The sequence below is a fragment of the Homo sapiens genome, chromosome 8 (assembly GCF_000001405.40).
Source record: "Homo sapiens chromosome 8, GRCh38.p14 Primary Assembly".
NCBI classification, from domain to species: domain Eukaryota; kingdom Metazoa; phylum Chordata; class Mammalia; order Primates; family Hominidae; genus Homo; species Homo sapiens.
Genome location: NC_000008.11, coordinates 33,718,786 through 33,744,787, shown reverse-complemented (window position 1 = coordinate 33,744,787; position 26,002 = coordinate 33,718,786). Strand labels below are relative to the sequence as shown.

At 44.2% G+C, this 26,002-nt stretch overlaps 1 long non-coding RNA gene and 1 pseudogene across 5 annotated transcripts in view; one reads left to right on the top strand and one right to left on the bottom strand.

The window, feature by feature from the left end:
• The window catches only part of LOC105379364 (uncharacterized), a 535,736-nt gene extending 513,330 nt beyond the window's left edge, over positions 1–22,406 (bottom strand). For 4 of the 5 annotated variants that reach the window (NR_189606.1, NR_189607.1, NR_189608.1 and 1 more), the window contains exon 1: positions 22,220–22,406. This is a non-coding gene — a long non-coding RNA (uncharacterized LOC105379364). Of the gene's footprint in view, positions 1–21,700; positions 22,116–22,219 lie in introns of all 5 variants that reach the window. The other variant, NR_189605.1, reaches the window with a different exon arrangement.
• Positions 21,652–23,594, top strand: VENTXP5 (VENT homeobox pseudogene 5; annotated as a pseudogene).

Here is a 26,002-nt window from a genome sequence, read left to right as displayed (position 1 = left end):
AGAAGGGACTTGCCTTGTCTCAGATGAGACTTTGGATTGTGGACTTTTGAGTTAATGCTGAAATGAGTTAAGACTTTGGAGGACTGTTGGGGAGGCATGATTGGTTTTGAAATGTGAGGACATGAGATTTGGGAGGGATCAGGGGTGCAATGACATGGTTTGGCTGTGTCCCCACCCAAATCTCATCTTAACTTGTAGCTCCCATAATTCCCATATGTCATGGAAAGGAACTGGTGGGAGGTAATTGAATCATGGGGGCAGGTTTTTCCCATGCTGTTCTCATGTTAGTGAATAAGTCTCAGGAGATCTGATGGTTTTATAAAGGGGATTTTCCCTGCACATGTTTCTTTTGCCTGGTGCCATGTAAGACGTCCTTTGCTCTTCCTTCATATTCTGTCATGATTGTGAGGCCTCCCCAGCCATGTGGAACTGTGAGAGCAAGTTCATTGTAAGAGCAAGTCTGGTTTGCACTTCTTCTCCCCAAATCTACCCCAATGCATAGAACCCAGTACAAGGGCATTCCCCTCAAAGTGTTTGAAAACCACCACTTAAGCACTGCTGTTTAAATGTGTTAAATGTTTAATATTCCCATGTGAAATTAAGGAAGCAATCTCTGTCCCTGGTCTCCTGCAGCAGGATAGGGAAGAATATTAGGTATGAGTTCAAAAATTCAGTGAGTGTTTTAGAGTTGTTTGGTAAGTACAAGCATCCGAGCAAATTAATCATTAAATACTGTCTGGACACAGTGGCTCATGTCTGTAACCCCAGAACTTTGGGAGGCCAAGGCAGGCAGATCACTTGAGGTCAGGGGTTCAAGACCAGCCTGGTCAACATGGTGAAACCCCATCTCTACTAAAAATACAAAAATTGGCCAGGTGTGATGGTGGGCACCTGTAATCTTAGATATTCTAGAGGCTGAGGCAAGAGCATCATTTGAACCAAGGAGGCCGAGGTTGCAGTGAGCCAAGTTTGCACCACTGCACTCCAGCATGGGCAACAGAGCGAGACTCTGTCTAAAAGAAATAAAATAAAATCATTAAATACCACAGAATCACCAGGATGGAAAGAGCCCGGGATTGGGAGTCACATGTCCCTGGGTTCCTAATTTCCTCTCCACCAGTTCTGTGCTCTTTTGGCTAAATGGCCAAAATTTATGAGTCTGAGTTTTTGCATTTGTCAAAATAAGCCCTTACTGCGCCTTCTAATGTATAAATTCTGATCTAACTAATTAGCCCAGTAAAATATTGAAGATATTTCTGGTAGGGAAGCAGCTTGATTTAGTGAAGATGCTGGAAAAGTGGATCCTGAGAGAGACAGAGTCAGTGCCGCCATGGCTGAGGAGGAACAGCAGGATCCCAAGGGCATGCAACAGTCCTAAGCACCACTGCAGAGAAGCCCACGCAGAATATGAAACATCCCAAGAAATGAGGATCCCAGATAAGACTTTTGGTTCACATTAGCACCCAAAACAAATATTTTGCTGTAGGCTTTATTAATAACACCGTCACCTCAGGGTTGGAGGTCTGCCCTTTATTCATCTGAGGAGGACTCTGACTTCTCCAGTGTATGTAATAGAATCCTTTTGCAGCTACAGCTCTGCCCCAGTGCTCTCTGTTAGAGGTGAAATGAGGAGAAACATGGGCAGAATCCAAGTTTTAGAGAAATATAAGATCACAGAAGTAACATTTTTAATTGCTCTTAGTGTGAAAAGAATGAAAAGATTTCCTAAAGCAGACATTTGACCACCCTATACCCACCATACTCACGTTTTCCTCATCTTTATCCATAAAACCATGCACAACAAACATGTGCACATATACTCACATGCACACACTCTACTGCCTCAATATTGTCGCTCTTGAAGATGCATATCTACCTTCTCAAAAATGTATGCATCAGGGTGGGGCTTGGTAGCTCATACCTGTAATCCCAGTGATTTGGGAAGCAGAGGTGGGACGATTGCTTGAGCCCTGGAGTTGGAGAGCAGCCTGGGCACCATAACAATACCCCAATCTCTACAAAAAGAAATTCTTTTTTAATTATCCACGTGTAGTGGCATGCCCCTGTAGTCCCAACTACTGGGGAGGCTGAAGCAGAAGGATCCCTTGAGCTCAGAAGGTTGAGGCTGCAATGAGCTATGATCTCACCACTGCAATGCAGCCTGGGCAACAGAGTAAGACCCTGTCTCAAAAAAAAAAAAAATTATGTATCAGATTCCATTGTGTATTTCAGAAAAATCCATATGAAAGGACAACCTCTGCTCCCTCATCCACTGTTGTTATTAGGTCAATGTGAGAATAAAGAGTGGACCTGGAAATAATAGGATAAAATAGCCCTGACCCAGCCAGTTTAACCATGAAACCTCTGCTCACTAGAATCTCTGCCAGGCAGATGATATAAGGATTTGTTAGTCAATGACAAAGAGGGCATCCACATGCACAGTTCTAATATGATCAACTGAACCCTAGCACTCCTATATCTGGAATAGGTAGTGAATGAGCTAAACTAGTGGAAATTTTTTAGAAAGAAAACTGAAATTCTGTACATAAAGGGTTCCAAGTATTTATCATTCATATTAGATCTTTTTCCAAGACTCCAAAGATAAAATAGCTTAGAGTCAAAGAGAGTATATTAAACTTCATGTTAGCCCGAGGCCCTCCTTCTTCCTTTGTTTATCATTTATTTATACCTGTCCTCATTTTGAAAAAGAATTTGTTGCTGAGTAGGAAAGTGTACACAGAACCAGCCAACCCTGTGTCACATGATGTTTGAGAGTAAATTATCTGCCTGTCTCTGGTTTTTTAAGCTAACTTTAGAGCACACTGCAGACCTTCACAGCAGTGAGCAAGACAGATTGGAAGTCTCATTTTTGCACCAATCTCTTCTTTAAATTCTTGGATCTGCAAGATCTTAGAGACTCCTTCTGCCAGGATTTGGTGCCTCTAATTCCCACAGGGTTTTATTCCTGAGTTTTCTTTCTCCTTTCAGCTCTCAGCATCTCATGATTCTTCAGCTACAAAGTTCCACTCAACTCTAACTCCACATATCCCAACTCCTAGCAGAGTACCTTGACGTGTGCTCCTTCTGAGCCAACTGTACTTGCCCAGGCCAAAACTGGGTGTGTTGGCATCAAAAAAAAGAAACTTCCAGGCTCAATTGGACACACCTCCAACATTCAACCACTCCCTCTCTCTTGGACTTTGACCCTGGTTCAGCTCTGTGCCCCTGCCACCAGCCACCCAAATCTCATGTCAAACTGTAATCCCCATGTGTTGGAGGAGGGGCCCGGTGAGAGGTGATTGAATCATGGGGGCAGACATCTCCCTTGCCGTTCTTGTGATAATGAGTGAGTTCTCATGAGATCTAGTTGTTTAAAAGTGTGTAGCACTTCCCCATCCTTCTCTCTCTCCTGCCACATGGTAAGATATGCCTACTTCCCCTTCACCTTCCACCATGATTGTAAGTTTCCTGAGACCTCCCCAGCCATGCTTCCCGTGCAGCCTGTAGAACTGTGAGTCCATTAAACCTTTTTTCTTTATAAATGACCCAGTCTCAGGTAGTTCTTCACAGCAATATGAAACGAACTAATACACTGACTTAGACTTTAGTTTCCTTTTCTGAAAAATGGGGATTACATCTACTCTGCCTACACCTGTGAGTTTGTTGTATTAATCAAATATAATGAAATGATGAATGTGAATGTACTTTAAAATCTTAAAATAAAAGATAGATGTAAATTAATAATTCCAAAACTTGGACTTTATTTTTGGAATTTTTAATTTGTAACATTGTATAATAGAAAAAAACTTCTCTGTCAGAAAAAAAAAATGTTTTGTCATTAATTTGCTGTGTGATTTTTTATAAGTTCTTTGACTTCTCTGAACTTCAGTGTCTTCAGCTGAGGCCTTAATTAGTACTCCTTTCTTTGAAAGTAACAGAAGTCCTCTTTAAATTGAGGAAAATAGGCCGGGCACAGTGGCTCACGTCTGTAATCCCAGCACTTTGGGAGGCTGAGGCATCACTGGAGGTCAGGAGTTCGAGACCAGTCTGGCCAACATGGTGAAACCCTCTCTCTACTAAAAATACAAATATTAGCCGGGAGTGGTGGCACAAATTTGTAATCCCAGCTACTTGGGAGGCTGAGGCAGGAGAATCACTGGAACCTGGAAGGCAGAGGCTGCAGTAAGCCAAGATTGCTCCACTGAACTCCAGCCGGGGCGATAGAGTGAGACTATGTCTCAAAATAAATAAATAAATCGAAGAAAATGAGGTGAGACGTAAGAGGACATCGGGCTATTTTACAGAACCCAAGGACAGGAAGTGCAGTCCAGCCTGATGAGCAAAGAGGACCTGGAAATACAATATCCTTAGGAACCCAGGCAACCTGATACTTCATATTCTTGAGACCTTGATACGGTGTGGAAGTTTGTCCCCTCCAAATCTCATGTTGAAATGTGGTCTCTAATGTTGGAAGTGGCGTCTGGGGGAGGTGTTTGGATCATGGGTACAGATCCCTCATCAGTGGCTTAGCACCATCTCCTTGGTGATGAGTGATTTCTCACTCTGAGTTCACACAAGATCTGATTGTTTAAAAGTGTGTGGGAACACCCCCTTCTCTCTCTTGCTCCTTCTTGCCAGGTGACATGCCTGCTCCCGCTTTGGCTTAGCCATGAGTAGAAGCTCCCTGGGGCCTCCCCAGAAGCCAAGCAGATGCGGTGCCATGCTTCCTGTACAGCCAGCAGAACTGTGAGCCAATTAAATCTCTTTCCTTTATAAATTACCCAGCCTCAGGTATTTCTTTATGGCAATGCCAGAACAGCCTAATGCAGACCTCATTGGTTATCATGTATGTGTCTTTTTATGAGCTAGATTTCTTAACATCTCCATGTATGTGGCATAAAATAGCTGTCACCATTCCAATTAATTGGAATCCATTTGTACTGTCCTGGGAAAGAACAGCTGACTGGCCCAACATGGGTCCAGGGTCTCAGCTGGAGAATAGTATCATAGCGAAACATGGCCTCTGGGGCCTGCCACTATGAACGAGAAGCAATTTTCACAGGCAAAGGGCATGGGTTTAACAAAAATCTGAAATGTGTTATAGTGAATACTAGGCCCCATCATACAACTCCCTGTTCAGAAATGAATGACTCATTTCCTCTGATTCTGTGGGTGCTCCCTACAGACAACCCTCAGCTGACATCACTCTCTGGCAATTGTCCTTGAAGAAAAAGAGCCACCTGACTTTGTCCAAGGTCACATCCCTTCCCAGAGACAGCACACCTCCAATGACTACCTGAAGCTTGGGCCCCTCTCCCACTCTGAGAGGAAAAGCAATCCCAACTCCAGTGATGGCTGCAATCTTTGTAGTAACGACACTGCAGCCAACTTCTTCCTCTATCAATGCCTGCTTCCTTCCCTTTCCCCACGGGTATTAAACCCTCAGACACTCCCTAATAAACCTCCCACCTTCCAGTCTCCATTTCAGGCCTGCTTCCTGGAGAATCCAGCCTGCAACATGTGTGCGTGGCATATGTGACTCAGAGATGCAATCTTAGGGTGATAACGCCTGTCACACAATGCATTCAACTCAAAGGTGTTCAATGAATATTAGTTTCTTTTCCTCCTGTCAGCTTGCCCAGAGGACAATTTCACAGAAAAGAAAGTCACTAAAGTCTCCGGGATCAGAGCCCTTTTCTGTATGACTCTCTGATTTAAGGCTAGAAATTACAATTACAGGATCAATTTCCTTCTATCAGATAGCAAGAGCCAAGCAGAGCATCAGCAGCTGGGCCAAAATGAGGGCACTCATTGCTATCTGATGGAATTCTTGAAGAGCCTAATTCCTGAAGCCAAAATGAGGCAAAGGAGACTTTGCCTGTCAGTAACATTGGGCCCTGCTCCTCCCGCCGTTTACATTATCCCACCAGGCCTCGAGAGCAGGGACCGACTGAGATCATCACACACAGTGTTTGGAAGGTTAATCAGCAAGAATGCATCAAATGCCCACTCTGTGCCAGACTCACATATTAGGTAGATAGATGAGGTTAGGCTTTATAAAAATGTAGGCACTCTGTGGCACCTGCCTGGGATCCCAACTATTCAGGAGGTTGGGGCAGGAGGATCACTAGAGCCCAGGAGTCCAAGGCTGCAGTGAGCTGTAATCACATCACTGCACTCCAGCCTGGGTGACAGAGTGAGACCAAGACTTTAAATGTATATATAATCAGCAAGATAAGACACAGTGAGGATAGATAAGTGTCCAAAATTGGAACAAACCACAAATAGAGGCATTTAGAAAAGGACAACATCTTGTCTTACTGAGGATATAAGGGAACGGTTCATGGAGAGATACCATCTGGGACTTGAAGAATAGAATGGATTAATGGATTTAGAGCTTTTGATAGCCAGAGAAGATAAAGAGGCATTGCTGAAACAGAGAGTTACGCCTATAGAAAGGGACAATGTCAGGGCCTCCAGGTTGTTCAATTCCATGTGCTGGAAACTCCTGGAGCACAATATAGAATAAGGGCCCTGGAGTGGTTCAGGCTGCAGCCCAGGACAAAGTATGTTTGAGGAAGAGTGAATGGTTTGAAGTGTTGCCGATTTAAATAGTCAGGTGGTCCTCAGGCTCTGACGGGAGGCTGGTGAGAAGAGATGCCTTAGGCCCCTAGACCTCACTTGGTTCTCATTTAGGAAGGACAGTGTAGCCTGGCACCAGAATTTGAGTTCTGCCATCCAGAACCAGATTAGGCCAGATCATTTTCTTTAAGCATTTCAGAAAGAAAATAAATAGAGAAAGTATAGTTGTCCTCTAGACCTTCAAGAATTCAAAGATCAAAGCCAGAGATGACTTGTTAAGAAGACTAGATAAATGCTTTGAGCAAAACAGTGGCCAAGCACTGAGCTAAGTGTTTTATATAACAAGATTAATATTTACGACAACCTATGAGGTAGCTGCTGAACTCTTACCTTTTACATACGGGAAAATCAAGGCACAGGAATGTCAGGTAAGCCTCCCATGATCAAAGAGCTAGTAAGAAATGGAGCCAGAGCTCAAACTTATATGGCCATCTCCAGGGTCTGTGCTGAAAGCCTCTTCATTTTATACCATTATTGTTCCACCTTCAAGGTGAGAGCACTGTAGCATAAGGCTTAAAATAAGGCCTTATATTATGTGTTGCCTTAACATCTGATGAAATTCTGTTTCTGAGATGAGGTCTCATTATGTTGCCCAGATTGGTCTTGAACTCCTGGACTTAAGCAATCCTCCCACTTCAGTGTCCCAAGTAGCTGAGATTACAAGCACACATAAAATTCTTGTATGGTAAAATTCTTGAATGGCCTAACTACAAGTTCCCCTCCCAATTATGCTCCTATGAATGAGACCCCCTGGTCCAACAATGCTCCTTATTATAGGAACCAGTCACAGTTCACGCCTATCCCAGACTAGCAAGTTTCTGTTCTCTGCAAGCCCACCAAATTCTTTAAACAAGCCAATCACTTCCTCTGGTAGGAACCAGCAGGCACCCCTCCCTCTTGATACTACAAAGCCCTCCTCCCTCCGCCCTCATTTGTTCACTCTGCTCTTGAGGGCAAGCACTGGGGCCCTGCCTGGCACAGTGTCCCTTCCCCAAGGCTATGATTATATGTGGCTGGTAAATTGCTGTCATTCCATTGCCCAGTCCTGGGTGTCATGTGCTGGGCCATCCTCCTGGGGACAGGAATTCCCCTCCACCCTCCACAACTGGATGAATAGGAGACTAAAGCAAGCCAAGCCAGAAATGAGAAGGAACATCAAGTGGAGAGTAGCCAATGAGATGCCGTAATGGAATGTGGGAAAAGAACAAGGGTGAAAACAAACAGAGAAGACCAAAATAATGACCACACATGACTTAGAAGAGAGACAGAGTGCATACAAGAAGTTCCATCAACTTTTTGAAGCAGGAATAAAGAAAAACATTCAAATGAGGCAGGAATGAGCAATTGACGATCATAACTGTGATTATAAGGCATAATTACAATTAGCTGCACAAGAGTGTTAATCATGAAAATAATTACATGTCAGCTTTCCTCCTAAAGAAGAGAGAATGTAATTAAGTGGCCCAAAGGGGGCAAAGAAAACACATCTCTGGGTGTTACAGGTAAGGGGTGAAGGGCTGATGTTTTCAGTGGTAAAACTCTCTCAGTGCTTTAAATGAATCAACCAATTTCTGCTACAAAAAAAAACAAGGAAGGAGATAAGAACAAACTGGTTTGAGATTTTTCTTGCTAAAAAAGCAAACCAAAACTTGAGGTCTGAGGTAGAACAGTGTGGTAATTAAAAGCCAGACAGCCTAGGAGGCCAAGGCAGGTGGATCACCTGAGGTCAGGAGTTCGAGACTAGCCTGGCCAATATGGAGAAACCCTGTCTCTACTAAAAATACAAAAACTAGCTGGGCGTGGTGGTGCACAACTGTAATCCCAGCTATTCAGGAGGCTGAGGCACAAGAATCGCTTGAGCCTGGGAGGCAGAGGTTGAAGTGAGCCGAGATCGCGTCATCATACTCTAGCCTGGGCTACGGAGTGAGACTCTGTCTCAAAAAAAAAAAAAGCCAGACAGGCCTCAATTCAACTTTATTTTGCTAGTTACCAGCTCCATGATACTAGACAAGTCATTTAACCTCTCTCTAAGCCTCAGTTTCCTCAATAGTAAAATAATAATTATAATGCCTCTCTGAGTTGTTGTGAGAAAATAAAGCTTGTAAGACATTTATGTCAGTGCCTTACACAGAGTAAGTTCTAATAAGGGTCATTATACAATAAAGAAAGGAAGAAAGGAAAGATAGAAGAGAGAAAAAGTCCAGCATGTCTTGCTAAATTTTTCAGCTTTGGTGCCTATATGAATTCAAGAAGAACAAGGCTCCTAACACTTCCTGTACTGTACCTCAAGAGTTTCTTGTCTTTTCTAGAAGAAATCCTACCTTTGATCTCCATGAAGGCTTATGCTTTTAAGGTGTGAGATTGGGTGTGGACTTACAACATGTTTTCTTAGGGGCTGTGAATGAAAGCAGGTCAGGCTAGAGCCACTTACCACCTGCCCCAGTAGGTTTTTCCCTCCCTAGATGCTGTCTTTCAAGCTGTTCCCCATCCCATTTATTCACCCACTCATTCATTCATTTATTTTCTTTGTTGTTTGTAATAAAGACAATACATGTGTTGTATGCCAACTATGTGTACTACAATGTATAAGATAAACATGTGTTTATCATACGTTAACATGATAACCTTCCTGTTATCACTAGATCCTCTCTGTCATACTCTTTTTTAAAATGTTTTTTTTTAGAGATGGGGTCTCAATATGTTGCCCAGGCCAGTCTTAAACTCCTGGTCTCATGCATTCCTTCAGCCTCAGCCTCCCAAAGTGCTAGGAATACCTACATGAGCCTCCATGCCTAACCTCTGTCATATTCTTGATCCTTGCTAATATTATACCTTTGCTCGTTTGTCATTGCCATGAGAACACAACCAAGCAAGCCTTCTGGAGGATGGAAAACACGTAGAGCAATCACCCCAGCCAAGACCATTCTATTAGGTAGGTGTGAAAGTATTTGCAGTTTTTGCCATTAACGACAAAAACTGCAATTACTTTTGCACCTACCTAGTAGATCAGGAAACAGCTGGTTGGCCCCCAGACACATGAGCCAGCTCAGATCAGCAGAACCTTGGTCAATCATCTTAGTCAAATACACAAGCAATAAATACACATCTTGTTGTATACCATAGAGGTTTTGCACTTTTGTGTTACATAGAATTATTGTAGCAATAAGCAGCAGGTAAATTTTACAATAATTAGTTAGAAACCTAAGCCTGTCACCCACCTCATGGGAATAAAACTAGAGGAAGAGAAGATATTTATGGGCATATGTGTCTCTCTGAAGAGAGTTGTACAGTGTGCCTAACCCCCAAGCCAAGGAAGGGGGACTTCAGCAGGACCACCCAGAGAAGTGCAGTTTAAGGGATATGGACAAGAGACGTACTGGCTAGCTATTGACGGGTAAGCCAAAGGAGATAGGCTACAATGATACCCACCTGCAAGCCAAGAATTTGCTCAGGCAAAAGATGCATGAGAGTCTTCCATGCACTAGAGCTGGTTTGCTCAACCTTGGCACCACTGACATTTTGAGGTAGATCATTCTTTTTTGTGGGGGGCTGCCCTGTGCATTGTAAGATATTTAGTAGTATCCCTGGTTTCTACCTACTAGATGCCAATTCCACTTCCCAGTTGTAAGAGACAAAATCATTGAGAACTACTGCACTGAAGGTATTGCCAAATTCCTGAGGGCTCAGCAAAAAGTGACCAGCTGCAATACAGATGCCACTAGCTGCAACAGGGGAGCAGCTAGTGCAAGATCTCTAGCAATGGGGAGGTAAGGCATCTCCAAAGAACCAACTGGAATATCATGAGAGAGAAAGATTCTCTTTTTAACATCTGCCAAGCTTAGAGAGCTTGAAGCCAGCTTCCAACAGTGTCTGTTAAGTAACATTCTGTTCCTCTCATCCCTCCATCTGGCCTCTGATCTCCAACCTGGAAGGGTCAGAAATAACAGCTAGTCAGAGCAGGAAATACAGGAGGAGCCAACCACACCCTCCTTCTTTGCTCTAGGCCTCCCGGCACCTAGCTACGGCTGGAGAAGGTGGGAGAAGTCTCCACTGTGAGTTAGAATTGGCATACTGGTTATTATAAGGCAGTCGACCTTCTATTTTCTGAATCTAGGCTGTGTTTATCATTTAAAAGGTAATTGTTAGATTTCATACTACATAAGAACCACCAGAAAATTCAGAAGAATGCCTGATATTTTATTCAGCAGCAGGAAAACTAGATGCAGTAAATAGGTTTAAAGGGGCAGTAGGAGTTGTGGATGGTGAAGGCAATGAGAGTGATGTGGTGAATCCCACCAGCAGAGTTTAACGAAGCCTGATGGTGACCCCAACTCCCAGCTCTGCTACTCACCAGCTGTGTGACCTTGAGCAAATCATGTATCCTATTTGAGCTTCAGTTTGCTCATCTATTAAAGAAAACAACACTCAGCCAGGTGCAATGGCTCATGCCTGTAATCCCAGCACTTTGGAAGGACAAGGCAAGAGGATCGCTTGAACCCAGGAATTCAAGGCTGGCCTGGGCAGCATGGTGAGACCTCGTCTCTACAAAAAAAAATTAAGAAATTAGCTGGGCATGGTGGCATGACCCTGTGGTCCCAACTACAAGGAAGGCTGAGCCAGGAGGATTACTTGAGCCCAGGAGGTTGAAGCTGCAGTGGGCTACGATTATGCCACTGCATTCCAGCCTGGGCGACAGAGCAAGACGCTGAAGGAAGGGAGGAAGGGAGTGAGGGAGGGAAAAGAAAAAAGCCAGGCGCGGTGGCTCATGCCTGTAATCCCAGCACTTTGGGAGGCCAAGGCGGGCAGATCATTTGAGGTCAGGTGTTCGAGACCAGCCTAACCAACATGGTGAAACCCCATCTCTACCAAAAATACAAAAAAATTAGCCGGGCATGGTGGCACATGCCTGTAGTCCCAGCTGCTCGGGAGGCTGAGGCAGGAGAATTGCTTGAACCTGGGAGACAGAGGTTGCAGTAAGCCAGGATTGCGCCACTGCACTCCAGCCTGGGAGACAGAGCCAGAGTCTGTCTCAAAAAAAAAAAAAAAAAAGGAAGGAAAGAAAAATAAATAAATAAAACAAAACTGCTCTGTCCTGAATCTTCTGTGCAGTGGCAATTACAAAGTATCTGCATGGCTAAGGAGAAGATGGCAGAGTAAGTGGAACTAAAACTCAGTATATTTTGCTTCCACAAACCAATAAATCTGAAGGAAACAAGCCTCCTCAGACAGAAAAACAGGGACGAGGAACCCCTGGGAGCTGGGAGTATCATCACTGTCATAATCATCTTAATCTTCTTCCTCTCCATCTTTCTCATCTACAAACACCCAGAGTGGAGCAGCTCCTGACAAGGTAACCAAAAGCTCCCATTCTTCCAAAGAACCCAAAGAGGCAGTAACAGATGTGCCACCAGCTGGAAGAGTTGCTGGCCTGCCTTGGATGAAGGATCCCAGGCCTCCAGAGCTGAAGAAGCCCACAGGGTGACATATGCCGACCTGAACACTCAAGCCCTAAGTGAAGGCCTGTCCAGCCAGCAAGAGGCTTCCAAGAAGCCTCTGAACCCTGTGTGTACTCAGCCGTGAAGATGTAGCTGGGAGAAGCCCTGGAGCCTAGGAAGAAAGAACTTCTGATTAGGGAATAGGGGATGGGGCAGAGGCCGTGTGGGGAACTTGGCAAATGGGGACCCCTTTCCTCAAACTCCAGTGAAGGTTGTTTCCTTTTTTTAAAACTTATTTTTTAAAATGAGCGGTAACATTTACATAAAGTAAAACGTACAGATGTTAAGTGTACAACTCAGTGATATATATCTCTACATCTATCTATCATCATGATCATCTATCTATGATCTATTACCTATTATTTATCACCTATCTTTCTATTATCTATCAATCTCTATCCACCTAGCATCTATCTACCTATTTTCTATCTATCTATCTTCATCATCATCATCAATTATCTATCCATCTAATTCACTTGGTATAACCCCAACCAAATAAAAATATAGCATGTTTCCAGTACTCCAAGAAGTTCCCTTGTGACCTTCCTCAGTCAATTTCTACTTCTCTCTTTTCTGATTTCTACCATGGACAAGTTCTGTCTGTTCTTGAACTTTATACCAATGTAATTATACCACAAGTAAAAATAAATAAATAAATAAATAAGGGGCAGTAGGGTTTTTTAAGTTGCTTTATGGTTAATTCCCATTGAGCTCCATAGTTCGAAAGACCAGATGTCCATGCTTCCTTGCAGAACTTCCCATCACCATAAGATCATGCCCTAGGCTCCATTTCTGGCACACTGCACTATTTCTCCTACATCCAGAATTTGCTTCTCCCTTGCAATACAACCCCCTACAGCCTCAACATATACACAACAGCACCAACCAGCACAACCACCAACAATAACAAAGGCTACACGCAACAAAGTGGATGCTGGCTCTGCTTGCATCCTGTAGGGCTCCGGAGAATGCCAAATGGTGCTTCAAGGTTGAACCTGACTGCGGTTGTTAAGATTGCTCCCTCTCCATGGCATGGTCCAGGCCTGTCCTGTGGGCAGTGGCTTCATGTGAATCCCTCCCTTGCCCTGCTCCTTGCAGGGAGGTTGAACAGCAGGCCACAAGTCATCAATCAGCTAGACAGGCCTCTGTGCCCCCACCTCAGGCTCCCCGGGGGTGAGCACTGTGAATCACAGAAGTGTCCTCCTCTGGGAGCCAGGGTGACAAGGTCCTGTAATTTATCTCACATGAAATGAGCTGATTATTTGAATAAGCTGGAGGAAAGCAGTCCATTAATTCTCAGAGATAGCTCTTGATTCTTAAGGATTTTATTCTGTGTCCCCATAACTGACATCCCGCCTCTGTCTCTTTCCCAGATACTAATGGCATATCAAGGGCTTAACTTGCACTCCCCCAGTAGCCTGATGCTAAAACAAGGCATCAGACCACACTTCATGCAGAGAGAATGAAAGGGTCACTTGGCCTTTTAGTGTTTGTAGTAGATCCACAAGCTCTTTTGGTAACACTAATCCCAGCCACTGTCCACCCTGTTTCAAAAGATCACTTCACTTTGATACCAAAAGCACAATCCATAAAAGGAAAAATTGACAAATTGAACCTCATTAAAATAAAAAAAACTTTTACTCTGAAAAAAAAAAACAAAACAGCTATGGAGAGAATGACGAATCAAGCTGCAGGATGGGAGAAAATATTTGCAAATGACATAGTCAACGAAGAGCTCGTACCTAAAATATATAAAGAATTCTCAAAACTCAACAATTAAAAAAACAAAATCTAATTATAAAATGGTAAAATACATGAATACACATTTCACTGAAGAGGATATACAGATGGCAGATGAGCACATGAAAACACATTCAACAACATTAGCCATGAGGGAAATGCAAATTAAAACCACAATGATCAATCACTACATACCTATCCGAATCGCTAAAGTGAGAAACAGGGAAAATCCCCAATGCTGACAAAGCTGCAGAGAAACTGGATCACTCATGTATGCCTAGTGGGAACGTAAAATGGTATGGCCCCTCTGGAAAATAGTTTGACAGCTTTTTCTACAACTAAACATGTACTTACTGTATGACACAACATTGCACTCCTAGACATTTATCCCAGAGAAATGAAAACTTGGTCACACACACACAATCTGTTTATAGCAGCTTTATTTGTAATAGCCAGAAACTGGAAACAACCAAAATGTCCTTCAACAGGCAAATGGTTACACAGTGAGAAACCTCCATCATGCAATATTATGCAGCACTGAAAAGGAATGAACTATTGACACATGCAACAACTTGGATGCATCTCAAGGGCATTAGGCTGAGTGAAAAAACTGTCAATCTCAAAAGGTTAAATACTCTACCATTAAATTTGCATAGCATTCTTGGTTGTTGTTGTTTTTGCTGTTGCTGTTGTTGTTGTTGTTGTTTTTGTTGAGACAAGGTCTCACTCTGTGGCCCAGGCTGAAGTGAGGTGGCACGATCTTGACTCACTGCAGCCTCCACCTCCTGGGCTCAAGTCATCCTCCCACCTCAGCCTCCTAAACAGCTGGGACTACAGGCATGAACCACCACACTGGGCTAATTTTTTTTATTTTTTGTAGAGAAAAGGTCTCACTATGTTGCCCAAGCTGGTCTCAAACTCCTGGGCTCAAGTGATCCTCCTACCTCAGCCTCCCAAAGTAATGGGATTACAAGCATGAGTGCATAACATTCTTAAAATGACAATATTATAGACAGAGAAAGCAGATGACTGATTGCTGGAGTGAGGATTGGAAGTAGGCATACGTGCGATGATAAAGCAGTAGCATAAGGGTGTCTTGTGATAATAGAACAATCCATATCTTGATTGTGATGGGTGGTGGTTACACAAATCTATGTGCTAAAATTGCACAGAACTATACACACAGGTATACACACAAATGAGTGTATGTAAAAGTAATGACATTTGAACAAGCTCTGTGGATTTTATCAATGTCAACTTTCTGGTTTTGATATTGTACTGTAGCTGTGCAAGATGGTACCATTAGAGAAAATGGGTCTTCCTTGTACATTTTTTTCCTTTCTTTCTTTTTTTTCTTTTTTTGCAATTTTCTGTGAATCTATAATAATTAATCAAAAAACAGATTTTTAAAAATTCTAAATTCTTATGTTAAAAATACTCTTATTTCTAATCACATTTATTTATTATTATCAAGGTATAATTTGGATCCAGCTATAGAATTTTCTTCCCTAGAATCTAATAATTTTTTTTGCTTTTATTTTAGTTTCAGGGGTACATGTTCAGGTTGGTTATATAGGTAAACTACATGTTGTGGGGGTTTGGTGCATGATAATTCTGTCACCCAGATAATAAGCATAGTATCTGATAGACGTAATCTTATTCCTTCTATGTCTTTGAGCACCCTGGTCTCTCCAGGTAAATTATATGAAGGGCCTTGAAGCCAGGAGGTAAGTGTTGTTAATGTATTTAGCTGTGCTTCTTCCTTCTGTAGTGTCTGAAGGATAAGCAACCTCATCCTATAAGAAGGCACAGAAAGGTTCTCTGTACTGAGTCACGGATAATGAACATACGGTCAACATAAATGTAAATTCTGCTTTCTTTCAAAAAGAAGAAGAAGAAAAGTGCTTCTCCCACAATGACAGGCCCAGCATCAGAAAAGCAGCAAGAAGATGGTACATGAAGTGTGATTTCAATGAGGCTGGCTCTAGAGCCTATCTACGTGAGTTCAAACCCCAGTTCTACCACATTCCAGCTTTGGGATCAATGACATGTTACTTAACATCTCTGGCCTTAGTCTAATCATCTTTAAAGTAGGAATAAAAACACTCCCTACCCCATATGTTTGTCTTAAGGATTGATGATAGACACTTGGAAAGACACAGCCAGAGCCTGTGTACATGCTCTACAACAGGGGCCTGAGCCCACTGCAACAAAAAGAAAAATGCCAAGTGGGAAACACTGGCACTCCTACTGATGAACCCCTCTTGCTGTGGATCCTACCCAAATTCCCCCAGTGTGACACCCGAAAGTCTCCCATGTGCCAGACCTTTCCCTCTCATTCCTTTCTTAAAACTTACTCTTGGCTGGGCGCAGTAGCTCACGCCTGTAATCCCAGCACTTTGGGAGGCCCAGGCGGGCGGATCACGAGGTCAGGAGTTTGAGACCAGCCTAACCAACAAGGTGAAACCCCGTCTCTACTAAAAATATAAACATTAGCCAGGTGTGGTGGCACGTGCCTGTAATCCCAGCTACTCAGGAGGCTGAGGCAGGAGACTCGCTTGAACCTGGGAGACGGAGGTTGCAGTGAGCCAAGGTCACGCCATTGCACTCCAACCTGGGCAACAGAGGAAGACTCCGTCTCTAAAAAAAAAAAACAAAAAACTTACTCTTCATTGGATCTCTTTCCTCTTGCCATAAATGGGTGACAATTGGAGAAGCTGGGTGGGCAGTACAGTTGGTACAGGGTGTGAACACACACAGGGAAGCTGAGGAGGTGATTTCAGTTCTGACTCTTCCAGGTCCAGCCGTGTGATCCAGGGCAAGGTCATCCTACCTCCCAGGATGGTTTCCTCATGGGTGAAATCAGAGGACTAGACTAGATCAAAAATAGCCCATGTCTGCAATGGGCCAGAGAGTTAACATGTTTGACTTTGAGAGCTCTGTGGTCTTGTCACAACTTCTCAACTCTACCATCAGAGCAGGACAACAGTCACAGACAATGCAATGAGCGTGTCTGTGTTCTAATAAAACTTTTCTTACAGAAACAGGCACCAAGCCACACTTGGCCTGTACAGACCTTATTACTGTACAAATATACTATATATACATAAAAGATATATATAGTATACTATAAATATACAAATATACTATATATAATGTAGTATATTTATAATTAATCTGGAGAACTAATTTAATTCATAGTTAATGAAGTAGGTATGAAGTGTGATAGATAAAATAAATAATATATTTATAATTCTATAATTACATAGGATTATATATTTCTATAAATTATGTTCTATAATTTATATGTCCACCACCTAAACCCACAACCATGGTACTGTAACCAATCTCCCTGGGCAGTGACCCATGGCTGACTTTTAGTCTGTCCTGGGGGCACTTCAATCTCTTTCAGGGAGTGCAGCCATAGGTTGACACAGTCATTCAGCTGCCTCCATGCAGAACTGTACCTGCACTAGCCCAGCCAGACAAGGAAGAGCTACTTATAACATGCTCTAGGTCACTTCTAGAGGAGGCTCCCTTTGGCAATAATAAAAAATTGGTGGTTTTCATCTCTGTAGTAGAGCACTTCAGAACTAATATCATTTCCTTAGTGATCTATATTAGAAAACAACCCAGAAACCAAGAAACCATACAGTGGCATGGCTTGTAAATGTTCTGCCCACTCATCCCAGAGTGAAGAAATCTCTCTTGCATCTCCCCAATCAATTTAATTCATTTGACAGAAATCATTTTCTCCATCATTGACATGACCATTTATTTAAAAATCTTTTATATCGATTTCTCTCTAGAGGAACAGAAACTTGTTAATTCTTAAAGGTACCATTTCGTATAATGTGCCCCCATTCTGCAGCCAATTATATCCAGTGCCATGGCTTCCTCTGGATATCAATAACTATCAGCCACCCAGTGGACCGCTGCTTGCAACTTCCTTTCTGAGCTGTCATTAGAAGATCCCTGACTTGGGGCTGACTCACAGCAGTTGCTGTTAACTGCTGCGGCCACCTTTGTGCATCTTTTGAGTGCAATGTCTACCTCCTGGCGTCACTCTGATGCCTTTCCTGAGGCTCCAGCTTTCTCTCCCCCTGGGTTCCATCCATAACATCAACACTATGATTTTTTAATTAGCTCTATGAGACATACATTTGAAATCAAATCCCAAAAGGAACTGGGTCTTGTAGAATAAAGTAACTTGGATGCCTATCTGGAGGAATCATTGGAATCCTAATTTCTAGCATGACCATAGTCAGGCAGCCAAGTGAACCTTCTGCCACTGGCATCTTCCTACACTTCCACAGGGCCTGCTAAGCTGCTGTGTGGAAAGGGGCTTTTCCAGTCCCAGTTTTCTCCTTTCCTCTTGAGTTAAGGAGAACAGAAAGGGGACCACCTGACCAAACCCTGACTAAGGGTAAATGATCAGACCTTTAGGGATAAGTTTGCCAGTGATCGTGGTTCCAGCTGTCTCATTAGGGATTTCCAAGGCACTCTCAAGATTCAAAACCAACAACTCTTGAAGGTTCTGAGTGTCCACGCAAGGGCTAAATATATCCATACAACTCAATATCAGCCCAAGGCCACAGATAGCCCAAATAGCCTCTGCAGGCGCCTACTCTTTAAGGAGGAATCACATTAAGCTCTGGTTCTTCCCTCTACTCTTAACAGAGTCCCCCAACTTAGGAAAACTCCACAGAGGTCTTCATTAGCAATGATTCAGGAAATACTTCCTGCTCTATATCCCCGAAGCTGAAAAATGATGCAAAAATCTCAGAAAGACACCAATGGACAATTTCAAAGGAGCAATCTTTATCCCATGGATACTACCCAGTTCCTGAAGAGCAAGCAGTCTATTGCAGGAAAGACAGCTGTATTCTTGAGATAGATAGATAGATAGATAGATAGATAGATAGATAGATAGATAGATGATAGATACATACATACATACATACATACATACATACATACATACGCAGGCAGACAGATGATAGATGGGCATGCAGACATAGACACAGATATGTTACCAGAAAGAAGTCCCAATCCAAACCCCAAGAGAAGGTTCTTGGACTTCACACAAGAAAGAATTTGGGGTGAGTCCATAGAGTGAAGGCAAGTTTATTAAGAAAGTAAAGGAATAAAAGAATGGCTACTCCATAGGCAGAAGTGACAGGGCCACTCAACTGAGTATACTTACAGTTATTTCTTGATTATATGCTAAACAAGGGGTGGAGCAGGGATTTCCCAAAAGCGATTTCCCAGAACTGAGGGTTCTTCCCCATGTCAGACTATATAGGGTACTTCTGGACATTGCCATGACATTTGTAGACTGTCTTTGGGACATTAGGAGCGTCTTTTAGCATATTAATGTATTATAATTAGTGCATAATGAGCAGTGAGGATGACCAGAAGTCACTTTCATCGCCATCTTAGTTTTGGCCGGCTTCTGTACTGCATCCTTGTTTATCAGCAAGGCCTTTGTGACCGGTATCTTGTCCCAGCCTCCTATCTCCTCCTGTGGCCAGGAATGCCTAACCTCCTGGGAGTGCAGCCCAGTAGGTCTCAGCCTCATTTTATCCAGCCCCTATTCAAGATGGAGTCACTTTGGTTCAAATGCCTCTGACAGATATAGACGTTGATATAGATAAATACAATCCTTATGAAATACCTGAAGACAATGTATAAATGATTGCAGATCAAACAGAAATACAGAAAATGTGGCATTGACATCTAGTTCCCAAGGGGACTGAGAAAAAGAAAAACAGCCTCTTCTCTATGTCTTAATGTACAATTACAAAAAATTCCATACAGCTTGCATCAATTAAGCTCCTTCTATGTACCTGGCACCATGCTAAGAGATTAATGAACATAGTTCCTGCCTTAAAGGCTTCCCAATCTAGCTGAGAAGAAAGCCACACCAACAAATAACCATAATATAAAGCAGACTATAATAAGTGATACAATAAAGATACAAAAGTGCAGAAAAATAATAGGGCTGTTTGCTTTGTTTTTTCAAGGACCACAAATTTTAAAAATTTACCAAGGCATCCAGCAAGGGCAAGGGCTAATTGGCAATCTTCAGAGCTTAGCAACAACAAATGAAATGAAAACATGACTTCTCATTTCCCAAAATAAAACACACTGAATTATGGCCACAGATACATTCTCAGTTCTCCCAAAAATGATCTCAATGTGTCTTCTGTGTTTATGACCTGAAAAACTCCGTAACAATAAATCAAAGTCTGGAGAAGAAACCAAAATAAAGAATAGAATTACCATCTTTTTCCTCATTATGCCCTTATCTCTACCTCAGCCTCCCAGTTCATTAAAGGTACCATTCCTTGCTTTGCACAACACAAGTACTTGCCTATGGGCCAATTTGAAATGACTCAGGATACAGCCTTCTGAAAACACTTAAAAGGATTTACTTGCCATATCTATGTATCCCACAAACACGTCTTAAACACTTGTTGAGAACCTTACTCAGTGCCAGACTCTGGGATCGAGAGAACAAGACATGGTCTCATCCTCGATGAACAAGACAGTCCAGAGATGAGGGGAAGGAAGGAAAGAACGAATCTATGCACAAATAAGGACATTTGAAAGTGGCAAATGTGCCAGGTGGTGCTGTGGCTCACACCTGTAATCCCAGTACTTTGGGAAACTGAGGCAGGAGGATCCCTTAAGCTCAGGAGTTCGAAACCAGCCTGGGGAACAGAGTGAGACTCCATCTCTACAAAAAAAAATGTTAAAAAATTAGTGCACGCCCGTAGTCTCAGCAACTCAGGAGGCTGAGGCAGGAGGATTGCTTGAACCCAGAAGTTTGAGGCTGCAGTGAGCCGAGATCACGCCACTACACTCCAGCCTGGGCAAAAGAGAGGGACTCCATCTCAAAAAAAAAAAAAAAAAAAAAGGAATAATGCTCTACTGATTTTATGTCCAGGGTTATTACAGCAGCATCCACACACTGTTTCTTATGCACGACGGCAAAGAAGCCAGAAAATCATCAAATATTTTGGAAAGAGTCAAGTCATCTAGTGTATGAAGTTTGGCTTCTAAGAGATCTCTTATTCCTACTCTCTTCCCTCTCCAATTCATCTTGCATCCCACTTCTGGGTCAGTACTCGTAAAGCTTAATTCTAATTGCATTAATCCTCTGCTCAAAGAGTTCTAATGCCCCTCCTCTTAACTATCGAGTGAAGTCCAGGCTCCTTAGCAATGCACCCAAGCATTCCAAAACTTAGCCTCAGCCTCCCGCTCCAGCTTTGCCTTTTTATTCAGTAAATATCAATTAAATGCCAAGCATGGGAGATACTGGGAAAATCAAGAAACCAGAAATTAGTCAAGATTCCTAATTTCTTAGTAGAATATTAAGCAGACAAATTAAGCAAGCAAACAAAAAATTTCAAATGGTGACAAGTGCTATGAAGAAAATAAAGCAGCGCTAGAGAATGGCAGGGGCGGGGGACCACTCTACAATGGGTGATTAGGAGCATCTGAGTAAGAGACATTTAAACGGAGACCTGAATAACTAGGAGCAAGCCACATGACCCTCTAGGGGATGACTACGTCAAGCAAAGGAACCAGCCAAGGCAAAGGCCCGATGGAACTATGAAGACCAGGGTGGGTAGAGCGTCAGGAACAATGGAGAGAATGGTGTGAGACAAGGTTGGAGAGCCTGGACCACGTAGGGCTTACAGGCCCATGGATTTTTAACCCCATGTCTGATGAGAAACCATTAGCAGGTTTTAAGAAGGAAGCAGGTGGTGGATCCTGCGCCTGGCCAGCCCTGCCCGGCCTTCCCTCTGGCCCACCTGACCGCCATGCGTCCGTCCTCCTCCCCACCTCGTGGCCGGCAGCAGCCCTCCAGCTTTGGCTCCGTGGACTGGCTCTCCCAGAACAGCTGCTCAGGGCCGACCCACACCCCCAGGCCTGCCGACGTCTCCCCGGGGAGCCACCCTGGCCCGGGCCAGACATCCGGCACCCGGGAGCCCCCTCAGGCCGTCAGCATCAAGAAGGCTCGGTCCTCAAATCTGCCTGCGCCGGAGAGGGCCGTGGCTGGGTTGGGTAAGAAGCCAAACCCCTGGCAGGCCCCCTGTGTAGGCACAGCCTTCACCACCGAGCAGGTCCGCGCCTTGGAGGGCGTCTTCCAGCACCACCAGGACCTGGGCCCTCTGGAACGGAAAAGGCTGGCAGGGAGATGCAGCTCTCGGACGTCTAGACAAAAACCTGGTTTCAAAAACGCCAGATGAAACAGAAACGACAAACGCAGGACTCCCAGCTGAACAGCCCCTTCTCTGTGTCTCTCCACGCGCCCCCTGCTTTCCACTCACCGTCTTCTGGCCTTGTCAATACCTGCAGCTGCCGTGCCCTTGGGCACCCCTGCCAGGGCCCCAGGCTCTGATGCTGCCCCCTGGCTCTCTCTGGGGTCTCTGCCAAGTGGAACAAGAGGCCCTGGCCTCTGCGGGGGTTTCCTGCTATGGGCAGCCTCTGGCGTACCACCGGCCAAGCCCAGGAAGTGGCGTGCGTACGCTGGGACCAGCTCTGTCCACGGGGCCCTGGGGCCTGAGCGCCCTGCAGGAGACGGGGGGATGCATTTTGAGGATGCACCTCTGACTCCATGCCTCCCACACGCGCGGTCTGTGCAGATCGCACCTGGAGCCCACCTGGAGGGCTCAGCTGCTCTGTTCTGTTTACATCGTGGCGGCACCTCTCACCCTGACCCATGCAAAGGTTCTGGAGCTTTCTGGAGAATATATTTATTAAAGCCATCTCTTCACTGAAAGTTACCAAAAGGGTCTGTTTAGGAAGTAAATGGTCAGTGAACCGAGTCAAACGCAGAAATGGGCTTGTTATGGGTAGGGCTTTCAGCATATGATAAAAGGATAATTTGTTTTTTAAAAAATGTTGGAAAAACTGGTTTTCCAGTTGGAAAAAGTAAAGGTTGTAAATTTTGTGTGTAAAAAAGAAAACCAGGAAGGATTGGAAGGGAATGCAAGTGTCGTGTTTATAACCTTGGGGTTCGAGTCCCTCTTAACAAGGACTCCAAAGCTGGAAAGAAGGAGGGAACAAAGGTGAAAATTAAGGCGGGATGCTGGGGCCCTGCAATGCTCTCTAGGCCGTGAGTGAGCCGGGACTGTGCCGGCAGCCTGCTGGGGCCCTGCAATGCTCTCTAGGCCGTGAGTGAGCCGGGACTGTGCCGGCAGCCTGCTGGGGGCTGCTCTTCTCGGGCCAGGGAAAGTGGGGCAGCCAGGACCTGCGGCTGTGCCTGGACTGAAACCGTCGCACATGTCCCCACTCTTCAGCATGTGCTCACCTGTCCACCTCCTCGCAGCAGCCTCGGGACAAAACAGAATGACTCAAGGACAGCACTTCCTGCTGAAAATCTCGAAGTGCCCAGAATGGGAGGCACGGAAGCCCCTCCCGGGGAGGACTCTCCCTCATTGATGGAGCATTTTTGGTGCAGACCCCTCACCGCACACACCGAAGCTTAGACAAGGGCGCATCCGTCCACGTCGCCCCAGAGTGCCCAGGAGGCAGGCAGCGCGGGGCACCCAGACAGACGGGTTCAGCCTGCAGGACTGAGAGGCGACCTGTGAAACCGACCCAGGCATCCCAACAGGAACAAAAGCGTGGTCCTGTGGCCGTGTCCACAGCAAGTTCCACTTTCCCCTTACTCATTTCTGCCTTGTTGGAAGTGTTTACAACCAGAAAAAAGAAAAGTAAGGAAGCAAACTAATGTGATATTCAGCCTAGATGGGTCAGTTTGGCTACCCTAAGAAGAAGAGATTGAGCTGGGGGCAAGGGACGAGGCAAGGAACTCAGTTGGAAGCCCCTGCAGATTTCAAGTGAGATGTGGAGGTGGCCTGGACCAGAGTGACAGCAAGAGAGATGGAAAGAGTTGAACCGAGGTATGATATGCAAGAGGGGTAGGATTTTACAGAATCTACTCTAGGATCACTTGTGGGAGGAAAAGGAAAAAGAAGAATGAAAGACTTCAGAGATTACTTCAAGGTGCGTGGCTTGAGCAAGCAGGCAGACAGTGATGTCAGTTACCTAGTTCCCATCATAGCTTTTTCTCTGCCCCAAAACACTCCAACCCCTTCAAACACTCCTAGCCCCCAAATGCTCTAGAGTCAAAGTAGATAATTTGTCACCTCTCGAGCACAACCTACTCTTTTCAAATGTGCTTCATTGTTCATTTCCCTTATTCCTGCGTTTTTTGGAACTCTAGACATAATTCAAGACTCAAAACCAGTGTTATATTTCCTGAACCTGTCTGCTGAAATTACCTCTTCTATTCACAAGCAATGCCTTTTTACACCTCAATTATTACATGTATCCTACTCCACCTTACATTAATTTACTGTGCCATATGCAATGGTCTGAATGTTTCCCCCAAAAATCATATGTCGAAACCTAATTACCAATTTGATAGAGAGGTATGGCCTTTAGGAGGTGATTAAGTCATGAAGGTGGGGACTCTTACAAAAGAACTTTATGCTGGGTGCAGTGGCTCAAACCTATAATCTCAGCTACTCGAGAGGCTGAGGTGAGAGTATCACTTAAGCCTAGGAGTTCCAGACCAGCCTAGGCTACATAGTGAGAGCCTCTGTCTCTACAAAATAAAATAAATTAGCCAGGCATGGCGACACATACCTGTGGTCTCAGCTACCTGGAAGGCCGAGGCAGAAGGATGGCTCAAACCAGGAGTTCAAGGCTGGAGTGAGTTATTATTGCACCACTACACTCCAGCCTGGACAGCACAGCAAGACCCTGTCTCTTAAAAATAAAATAAAAGGGGCCAGGCGTGGTGGTGGCTAACGCCTGTAATCCCAGCACTTTGGGATGCCGAGGCAGGCTGATCACTTGAGGTCAGGAGTTTGAGACCAGCCTGGCCAACATGGTGAAACCCTGTCTCGACTAAAAATACAAAAATTAGCCGGGCGTGGTGGCGCACACCTGTTATCCCAGCTACTTGGGAGGCTGAGACAGGAGATCACTTGAACCCGGGAGGTGGAGGTTGCAGTGAGCTGAGATCACACCACTGCACTCCAGCCTGAACAACAGAGTGAGACTCCATCTCAAAAAATAAAATAAAATAAAATAAAATAAAAGGTCTTGAGGAAGTGGACTCACCCTTTTCTGTCCCTTCCACCACATGAGGTAACAGTGAAAAGACACCATCTTGGAAGCAGAGCAACCCAGCCCTCACCAGACATAGAATCTGCCAGTACCTTCATCTTGGACTTCCCAGCCTCCAAAACTATGAGAGATGAATTTCTCTGGCTTATAAATTACCCAGCCTGTAGCATTTTGTTATAGCAACACACATAAACTAAACATGTATGCCGCTCACACCCATAAACCCTAAACCTCACCTGTGACCAGGCTTTGTAACTCCCAGGAATAGTTGTAACTTTTCTAACTTTGACCTTTGTAACTCCTGGGAATCTTTGCATCCACAAATATGTGTAGACGAGGATAGAGATGGTGCGGATACTATTGACCCCTAAGCTTTGTTTAGTTCCTTGGCCCTAGACTGCTTTAGGCTAATTCTTATGGAGAGTTTGGAGGTTGTTTCATTTTCTAGGTGAGGGGATCAATTTTGAATAACTTGTCTAGGTGACACAAGGGAGCCTGGATTAGAATTCATATCCTAGGGGGTCTGACAATAGCATAGAGAGTCACATAGATAACATATATTTCTTCTTTAAATCTCTACAACCAGCCTGCACAGGACCTTATTTCATCAAGTCTAAAATGCCAATTCAGAGACCCAATATTATTTAATGGAACACTGTTTAAAAAAGTGAAGTCAATTAAACTTTTGACACATGCTAAAATGCAACCATCATCAGGGTAGCCTGATTTCAGAGATGTTAAATGTGAGAGAGGAGAAAGGGTGCTTTAAAATCCCTAATTTATAAGTGAGAAAACTGAAGCTTAGATAGAATAAGCAATGGCCCCGCCTCAGACACCAGGTAAGTGGCAGATTATCTTGACTCCAAGAACTCAGGTGTCTTGGCTCCAAGAACTGTACTCGCTCCGTGTTAGCAGTACCTCCCCTTTCTGTATCTTGGATTTTTCAGAAGAGGCACAACTATAGCAGGGCA